The 9,786-nt window shown below is 42.1% G+C and overlaps 1 annotated feature.

The window, feature by feature from the left end:
* Positions 5,243-6,442: an enhancer, noted in NCBI's record as "P300/CBP strongly-dependent group 1 enhancer chr15:68564472-68565671 (GRCh37/hg19 assembly coordinates)". NCBI's record gives its function as "activates an origin of replication core promoter dependent on BRD2, BRD4, P300/CBP, MED14 and CDK7 cofactors, with strong dependence on P300/CBP, by STARR-seq in HCT116 cells {active_cell/tissue: HCT116}" and the evidence as "EXISTENCE:reporter gene assay evidence [ECO:0000049][PMID:35650434]".

Raw genomic sequence — 9,786 nt, forward strand, 5'->3', positions numbered from 1 at the left:
AATATTTTAAAAAATACTTGCTAATTTGCTATTGCAACTGATATCTTATTGTTATATGGATTTATATTTGTTTGATTCCTAAAAATGTTCAGATTTTTTTCATACACTTGTTTGCTGGTTCTATTAAATTCTTAAATTATTTGTTGTATTTTTCAAAATTGTACTCAGGTCATCAGGTGTAGAAAAGTAATTAATTGCACTTCTCACTTCATAGTTTATTGTCCTCACAGGTTAGTACAATTACTCTCTTGAAATTTTTCTTTTTTCTCCCTTCTTCTCTGATTCCTACCGTACATACCCATTCTTTTTTTTTTTTTTTTTTTTTGAGATGGAGTCTTACTCTGTCTCCCAGGCTGGAGTGCAGTGGTACGATCATGGCTTACTGCAGCCTCGGGCTCCCAGGTTCAAGTGATTCTCCTGCCTCAGCATCCCAATTAGTTGGAATTACAGATGCCCACCACTGCACCCAGCTAATTTTCTGTATTTGTAGTAGAGATGGGGTTTCAGCATGTTGGCCAGACTGGTCTCGAACTCCCAACCTCTGGTAATCCATCTGCCTTGGCTTCTCAAAGTGCTGGGATTACAGGCATGAGCCACCGCACCTGGCCCATACATACCCATTCTAAAGCATTTGTTATACATCCTTAAATATGCATGTATCCTCAGAAAACATGTATTATTATATTGTGTGCATATGCTATTTAATAAATAGAATCTAGTTATAAATTTCATTCTGTTTCTGTACTTCTGCACTTAACCCTATGTTTGTGAGGCCTATCAATGGTGTTTTATGCATATCTATTCCATCACTTCTTTCTCCAGCATTGTATTTTCATAGTGTACTATGTATTAGTTGCAGTAACACTAGTTGCTGTAATAAACAAACCCCAAAGCACATAATGCTGAACACAATTGAAGTTTATTTCTTGCTCTTAAAATCCAAAAAATGGGTATTCCTCATTGGTGTGTGGGTTTCTCCCCAGTGGTGATTTAGAGAACCCGGCTGCATCTATCTTGTGGCTCTGCCTTCTTTAACATGGCTTCCAAGATGGTCGCATCCACCTGCATTGCATTGGCAGAAGGTGAAAGGCATAAATATCTTGTGTGAGAGGTTTTCATGGGCCTGGAATAGCAACATCATTTCCATTCATATTCTTTGACTAGACCTCAGTCAAATGGTTGTGCCTAACTGCAATGAAGACTGGAAAATGTAGTCTATTTGTGTGTCTTGGAAGAAAAGGAGATAGACTTGGTGAGCCACTAACCAATCTTCCCAGAGTGAGCATCCATCGTATGGTTCTTCTCCATCTGTGATAATGAATACCTAAGTTGCCCTCACTTCCCCACCACTCAGATAAAGCCATGAGGAAGGTCTTTGTACCTAAAAACCTTTGTGAGTTCTCTGTGATAAACACTAACATTTGATTTTGCCTATCTAATTTTTACCATTCTGACGTCCAAGTATAAAAAGTGGTATCTTGTGATTGCGTTCCTCTGATTACTAATAAATTTGAGTATCTCTTCTATTTTGGGCTTTTGCTTCTGTGAATAGCTTGTTCTTTTCCTATGCCATTTTTTTCTATAGGGTTTCCTGTGGCATTTTTTTTTCCTACCGATTTGCCTGAGTTTTTATATAACCTAGAAGATAATCACTCTTTTGTTTTAGATATTATAAACAAGTACAGAAAGCACATTCTTCTCAAGTACACATTGAACATTTCCCACAGATACACCACATGCTGAGACATGATCAAACCTCAACAAATATCAAAGGAATGAAATCCTACAGATTGTGTTCTTCGACTGTGGAATTAAGCCAAACATCTGTCATATGTAGCTAATAATACAATCCCCCACCGCTTTGAGATTTGATAGGACTTCTAAATAACTTATGAATAAAATGAAAAAAATCACATGAGATTTAGAAAATATTTTGAACTGAATAATAATGAAAACACAACAAACCAAAACTTGCAGGATCATTACAACTAAAAGTTCTCAAATGTAAATCTATTGCTTCAAAATTGTTCGGACCATAACTTCATTTGTTCTTGTCTAAATCCTTTTTTGATTTCCTACATCACCAAACCTAGCAAAATTATAAGGCAGGATAAGAGAAAAACCACTTATGAAAACAAAGATAAGGTGGAAGAACAACAATATATTTTAAACTAAGAAAAAAAAGCAAAGAAAACTGTGGCTTGACATATTTGAAAGGTTTGCATCATCTTGGTATATTATATTTGCTGTGTAAATAAGTATGTTAGAGAAGCTGATACAATTTCTTAATTTGATTCTTGTAATAAACACATATAATTTTATTTTATAAACTGTAGGATGTCAGCCAGACAGTGATTAGAGGAAAATGTATGGCCTTAAATGTATATATCAGAAATGAAAAAAAAAAAAAAAAAGACTAAGAATTGGCTGGGCGAGGTGGCTCATGCCTGTAATCCCAGCACTTTGGGAGGCTGAGGCAGGTGGATCACTTGAGGTTAGAAATTCAAGACCAGCCTGGCCAACATGGTAAAACCCTGTCTCTACCAAAAATACAAAAATTAGCTGGGCATGGTGGTGCACACCTGTAATCCCAGCTACTTGGGAGGCTGAGGCAGGAGAATCGCTTGAACCCGGGAGGAGGAGGTTGCAGTGAGCCAAGGTTGTGCCACTGTACTCCAGCCTGGGTGACAGAGCAAGACTCCATCTCAAAAAAAAAAAAAAAAAAAAAAAAAGACTAAGAATTGGCTGGGCGAGGTGGCTCAAGCCTGTAATCCCAGCACTGTGGGAGGCTGAGGCAGGTGGATCACTTGAGGTGAGAAATTCAAGACCAGCCTGGCCAACATGGTAAAACCCTGTCTCTACCAAAAATACAAAAATTAGCTGGGCATGGTGGTGCACACCTGTAATCCCAGCTACTCGGGAGGCTGAGGCAGGAGAATCGCTTGAACCCGGGAGGAGGAGGTTGCAGTGAGCCAAGGTTGTGCCACTGCACTCCAGCCTGGGTGACAGAGCAAGACTCCATCTCAAAAAAAAAAAAAAACAAACAAACAAAAACACTAAGAATTGAAAATCAGGAATCTAAAAGAAGAGCAACCAAATTAGGACCAAATAAAGAAAAAGCAAAGAAATAATAAAGAGCAAAAATCTGTGAAATAGAAAAAAATTTGCAATATGGAAAATAAATCCAAACATTCATTCTTTGAAAAGGTTAAAAAAACTGATAGGCCAGTCACAGTGGCTCATGCCTGTACTCCTAGCACTTTGGGAGGCTGAGGTGGGAGGATCGCTTGAGCCAAAGCTAAGGCTGCAGTGAACTGTGATCATTTCACTGTATTCAAGCTTGGGTGACAGAGTGAGACCTTGTATCCAAAAAAAAAAAAAAAAATTGATAAATAGTAGTAAGACTAAGAAAAACAAAGAGAAAATATGAATTATCAGTATCAGGAATGAAAAAAGCAGGCTATAAAAACAGATGCTACAGATATTAAAATGATAAAAAGATATTATAAAAAATGTGCGCTAATAAATTTGAAAATTTGAAGGAAGTGAATCAATTCTTTGAGAAGCCCAATTTACCAAAATGAACATAAGTACAAAATGTACATATACCTACATCTACTTTAAAAACTTTAATCCATAATTAGAAACCTTCCCTCAAAGAAAATACTAGAGAAAAAAGGGAAAATATCTCAACTTTCAGGCCAGCATAACTTTAATATAAAAATATATCAAAGTTATTAAAAAAGGAGAAGTTACAGACTAATGTCTCTAATAAATAATAGAAGGCGGCCAGGCATGATGGCTCACACCTATTATCCCAGCACTTTGGGAGGCTGAGGCAGGTGGATCACCTGAGGTCAGGAGTTCTAGACCAGTCTGGCCAACATACTGAAAACCTGTCTCTACTTATTAAAAATATAAAAATTAGCTGGGCATAGGGGCACATGTCTGTAATCCCAGCTACTCGGGAGGCTGAGGCAGGAGAATCACTTGAACCTGGGAGGCAGAGGTTGCAGTGAGCCAAGATGTCGCCACTGCACTCCAGCCTGGGTGACAGAGTGAGACTCCGTCTCAAAAAAAAAAAAAAAGAAAGTTCTATCCAACTCCATTAGTCAGGAAACCTCTTCAGAGCTCTCCTTGTCTGGAAGGCCCCTGACACTAACTCCAGGAGGCCAGGGCTTGGATCTCAGTTGTACGAACTGGAGCTGGCTACTTAATCTTTTTGTGCCCAGTTTTCTTCGTCTGTAACATGAGACCTTGTTACCTAACTCACTGGCTCACAAGCTCAAAACAGAGTGAGAACATTCGAACACATTGCCGGGGGAGTGTAAACTGGATGTATTTTCTGGAAAGTAATTTGGCTAGATATATTCAGAAATATTCAAATCCTGTGAGCTAGTAATTCCATTACTAGAAATTTATTATTGGCACATAATCAGATATACAGACAAAAATACAAGTAAAGAGGTGTTCGTGGCACTGTTATTTTAATAGTAATATTTTCGTAAACATCTTGAAAGTCCAACAATCAGGGCATGGCCACCGAAATTATAACACATCTATTCTGATAAATGCAGCCATTATGAATTGCTGTAGCAGAATATTTGGTAACATTGAAAAATGCCAATGACTTTATGTTAAATGAAAAGAAAAAAAGATATGGAACTCTTTGTGTGGTATGGCTCCAATTTTGTTTCATGAACTATATATGTCTGTGGACTCAGAAAACAGACTAGTGGGAAATTTACTGAAAATCTTATTGCTGGTGGTATAATTCTGTATATATTTAAAATTGACATTTGAAAAGTTGTCCCAGCATTCCTCATAAGCATGTGTTGCTTTGTTAATAAGAGAATCAAATATTTAAAAAGTAACCCAAATTAAAATTATTTGTGGGAAACCTCTTTGAAAATCATTGTGCTACACGTGAGATGTAAGTGCGTTTCTGGGGCTTTAGAAGCACAGACGGATTCCTGTTTAAATCAATACATTTGACTGCAAGGAAGATAAATGGGTGAGTGGGTGGCCATGCTGGGCACGGCTCCTAAGTCAGGCGCTCTGCCTGCCTGCTCCGCCCCTGCAGCCCAGCAGCGAGAGTCCTGCCAGCCCTAACCCCGTTTGTTTTTCTTCTCCCCCTGGATCCACCACCCACCTCTCCTTCCTCCGGTAGGTATGAACATGAACGAGTCTGTCTGGTCTTGTCTGCTAAGTGAATCATGCCTCAGAAATGGGAAATGGCCTCAAGGCCAGGGCCTGTCTCCATGGAAGAGCTGGGACTAGCCTCAAATGTGACATCAGCGTGAGTGCTGAGGGTTTCGCTGCAGCTTCCAGGCTAGATGGCAGGTGTGGGTGTTGCCATGTTTCTGGGCTTCTGGGCCAGGTCCTGATGGAATGCTAAAGTGATACGACCAGACACAGGTGAGAAGAAGGCTGCTTCTCCTGTGGTATGATTTGAGGGCATCCTTAGGTCTCTCTGGTGCTGACTCACCCTCCTCCCATCCTGAAATCACCATTATAAAAACTCCTTTGCCAGGGAAGACAACTGAAAGGAGTGGACAAGGAGGCTCCTGCTGAAATGCATGGGATCACACAGGGCAGCAATATCTCCTAATATTAGCACTGAGGCTCTGGAATCAGTCAAGCTTAGGTTTGGATCCCAACTCCACTACTGCTTGGGGATGTCCCTTGGTGCCGCTGACATCTGTAAATGATGACAAAAAGCACTTACATATACCAAGCAGATGCCAGGCACAATTCTAAGTGCCCTTCTATTAACTCACAACAACCTTATTAGGAAGTTACTCATAATCACATCCATATTACAGAGGAGGAAATTGAGGCATGGGGTGGTGAATTAACTTGCTCAAGGTCTCACAGGATCAGCACTAGGATGAGTCCACACCCAGTGTGGCTCCTATGCTTTTAATGACCATGTTTGGGAATCTTATTAGTATCAGATGGGATAATAATAGAAACCATGACTTATTAGGGGCTTACTCAGTGCCAGGCACTGGACTAAATGCTATATAGGAATTTCCTCATTTGTTCATCCCAGTGCGTGGATGAGGCAAGGACTATTGTTAGGTGCTAACATCACCCTGGCAGGACAGCCAACTGTATACAAGGCCCTATGTTAAGGGCTGGGCCTTCAGGAGATTGCTATGGCATAAAGAGTTAAAATGTGTCCATAATAACTGTGATTCATGGTAGAATCATAGGTTGATGGAGCTGGAAGAAAGCTTAAAGGTCATCTGGTTCAGATGCATTTTTACTGATGACAAGAACCAGAGTGTGTGTGGGAGGGTGGTGGGAAGGTTTAATCCCACAGGAGTTTTGGGAGAAGATTTAGTGAGATGATAACAGCAGCCAGCACTTACTGAGTTTGGGTGCTGTGTATGCTTGTATGCTTATCTCATTCAACCCTCCAACCAGATAAGGGTGACATTATTATTATCCCAGTTTCACAGATAGGGAAACCGAGATGTTGAGAAGTTGAGCAAGTACCTTGCCCAGCGGCACACAGCTAGCAAGTGGTGAAGTTAGGATGCTGCAGGCTGGATTCCAGAGCTCAGGTGCTGAATTACCATGCTGAATGCCATCCCAGTGATAGAAGGAGGTTAAAAGGCCTGGGAAGAAGCTGGACTAGGTGGATGGGAAAGGCCTTTGGAGACTATGAAATCTTGTACAGACACGAGTAATTTTTGGAAAGAGGCAAAGGTCCCAAGAGAGGTATAAAGTGGTATAGACCTCAGGGGCAAAATCAAGGAAGATGTCCAGGATGAGATGGCATTTGCTCTGGATGTGGATCTGTGCTCCTGGGGTAGGAGTGAGGGCTGTCCAGACTATGTGTGGGATGGTGGTGGGGTTTCCTCCAGCCCTTCCCCATTGGCATGGGATGGCTCAGTAAGTTAATTGGCCCCTTAGCCCAAGTGAAGTGACCAGGACCACAGAAAGCTTTGGGCACCTAAAGCTGGGGTCCTGACTGCAAAGAACATGATGGGTGGGGAGAACTGAGAGGGCACAGAAGGTTGGTAGCAGGTGGGGTGGAGGTGGCCAGACAGCCTGAGTTCAAATCCTGATGTTCTCCCACACTCCAGTTATGAGGCCACAGACAAGCTACTCCACAGCTCTCTGCCTTAGTTTCTTCATCTGAAGAATGGGAATGATAATAATGGCATGTACTTCAGAAGCTTGTGTAAATATAACATGCTCATCTGTGTGAAATGTTCACTGTGATGCCTGGCACACATATTTCTGTCATTATAAGCCCAGGATACCGATTGGTACCACTATCCAGAGAAGAATGGGGTTAGAACAAAGCAGACACACGTCTATTTCAACCTACTTTCCTGGTAAACCTAAATCTGGCAGAGATGAATGGCTTCGCAAAATAACACAGACTAGCCACCCCCTCTCCTCCAGCCTTGGTTTTGTTTTTGCCAATCATTAGATTTGCTTTTCAGGGAAAGGCAAGGAGAGTGGGAGGCAGAGGAGGCAGAGGCCAGTGGGCTGCCAGTTTTGTGAAACCGGGCTGATAGACTGTCACTGGTTTCTGAGTTATCACTCTTATTTCTGACATCATCCTTGTGCAGCTCTGTTGGAATTTCTGAACTCTTGTGAATTAGCCTCCCCAGCCCCTTGTATACCATGGGTTTACTCTCCATTCTTAGAGGCGGGCACATTCTTGCAGAGAAAATGCAGATGGGGACAAAGTCCTTTCTTGAGCAGGTTAATGGCAAAATAGAAGGATTTTGCCAGGTGGGCAAAATAGAAGAGTTTTGTAACGTGGGCAAAATAGAAGGATTTTGTCAGGTGGGCAGGAGGGGAATAAGAGGAAAGAGAAACTAGTATGTACTGAGGCACCCCTTCATAGGACCAGGCTTGGTGAAGAAGCTGGCATGTTCCCATCACACCAGCCCTGCAAGGAAAAGATTTGACTCCATTGTACAGATGTAGAAACTGGCCCAGAGCCACAGCTTGTCCATAGATATGGAAATCCCACCCAGATCTATTCAACACTAAGGGTCACCCTCTTCCTCTATAGTACGTGCAAGGGGTATAAGATTAAAACAAGTGTCTTTACTGGTGCTTGAAAAATAACATTTTTGCATGCACTTTATCTGAGGAACTTCATTGACTTACAGCTGCAGGCTGGATTGACCTGACTTGGAAAAAGAATGCTCCATGGAAGGCATGGCAAATTCTGCTCATAGGCCACTATAATGCCTAGGAAGCAAAGTGCGGGGAAAGGTCAGTCCTGCCTTATTTCCAGGTGGAAGGCTGCAGTTTGTTGTCATCAGCAAATCAATCTCCATCAGGATATAGCTACTTGTAGTTATGTTTTACTATTGCACATTTGCTCAGTGGCTTTCTGTCCAGGGAGGAGGAAATAGGTCAGAAGCACAAGGAACTATTTCTGGGCCCTGGCCTTTGGGAAAGCAGCCTTGTCCTGTTTACATATCCTCTCTCCAGATTTGCACAACCTGACCACAGAAACGTCACCCTCTAAGCCCAGGTAAACAAGCAACTAAATAGTCTCCAGTCAGCCAATAGCTATTAAGAAACCAAGGGAGCCCAGAAGCCTATACGAAGCAACTTTGATAAACACAGAAGAAAACAGCAGCCCAAACCTCCTGACTTTGGGCTGCTGGAGCAAAGAGGTATTCCCATCTTGGGATGGAGGCCACACAATGCAAGTTCTGAGCCCCTCTCTAGCTTGACCCTTGGAGCAGTCACCCCTTGTAGTACCCATCCAGTTATACCACCAAACTGAGGTAGAGAGGGCACGAGGAAGAAGGGAGTCTCTTATTCAGCAATGAGTCTGGATGAATCAGGTCTCCCTTAGAAAACAAAACTGGAAGAAGGGGCCTGTGTCTGGACTTTTTTACATCACCTTCTTCAGAAAGTTGGTTCGGAATAGAATGTAGAATGATTCAGGAACATAATAGGGTAAAAGGCTATGAGGAGATGGTTTTTCTAAAGAGCCAGGCACTCCTCCAGGTCAGCTTGTGCCCAGGTAATCAAAGTGTGTTGGCAGAGGAGAGGGAGGGTGGTAGGGAGACGGAGTTAGAGATATGGAGAGACAGAGAGAGATAGAAAGGCAGAGAGGAGACAGATGGTAGATGAGGTGCATGCTTGCCGTATGGAGCCAGAAAAGGAAGTCATCACACATCTGAATGTGTGAATCCGAGACCAAAAAGCCTGGGTCCCTGTCAAACACTGGGTTTTTTCATGACCCTGAAGTCCCCAAATAAACCAGCCAGCTTCCCCCACTTCTCTATCAGCTATTTCAGAGACGCTACCAGTAGAATCTTACCTTCAGCCCTTATTGCCAATGCTGTTTTTGTTTATGGTAAGGAGAAAAATAACTCGTGTTTCTGTAGGGATCTGCAATAAGTGGGTAAAGCTGAGCTGTAGAATGGAGAGAATTTGAGAAGTGACCCACACCTCCACCAATAGCTGCAATGGAAGTGAGGCCTTTACCTCCTAGAATTGGAATGGTGGGGTTCAAATAAAATAATGTATGTGAACTTGTTGAGCCGAGCCCAGTCCCTTGGAGCCACATAAATGCATTTGTTCTTTCTCTATGGTAAATTTTGTCCTTTGGGGAAGGGAGGAAGAGGGAGGAAGTCACTTTCATATTGAGTTTTTTGAGACTGTCCCAGAAGCTTCATCACCTACCATTCACTCCTACCATCCTAATCCAAGGCCTGTCCCCCTATCTACTCTTGCCTTCCAGAGTTTATTCTCCATACAGCAGCCAGAGTGATCTTTTTAAAAAACACA

This window comes from Homo sapiens, chromosome 15 (genome assembly GCF_000001405.40).
Source record: "Homo sapiens chromosome 15, GRCh38.p14 Primary Assembly".
NCBI lineage: Eukaryota > Metazoa > Chordata > Mammalia > Primates > Hominidae > Homo > Homo sapiens.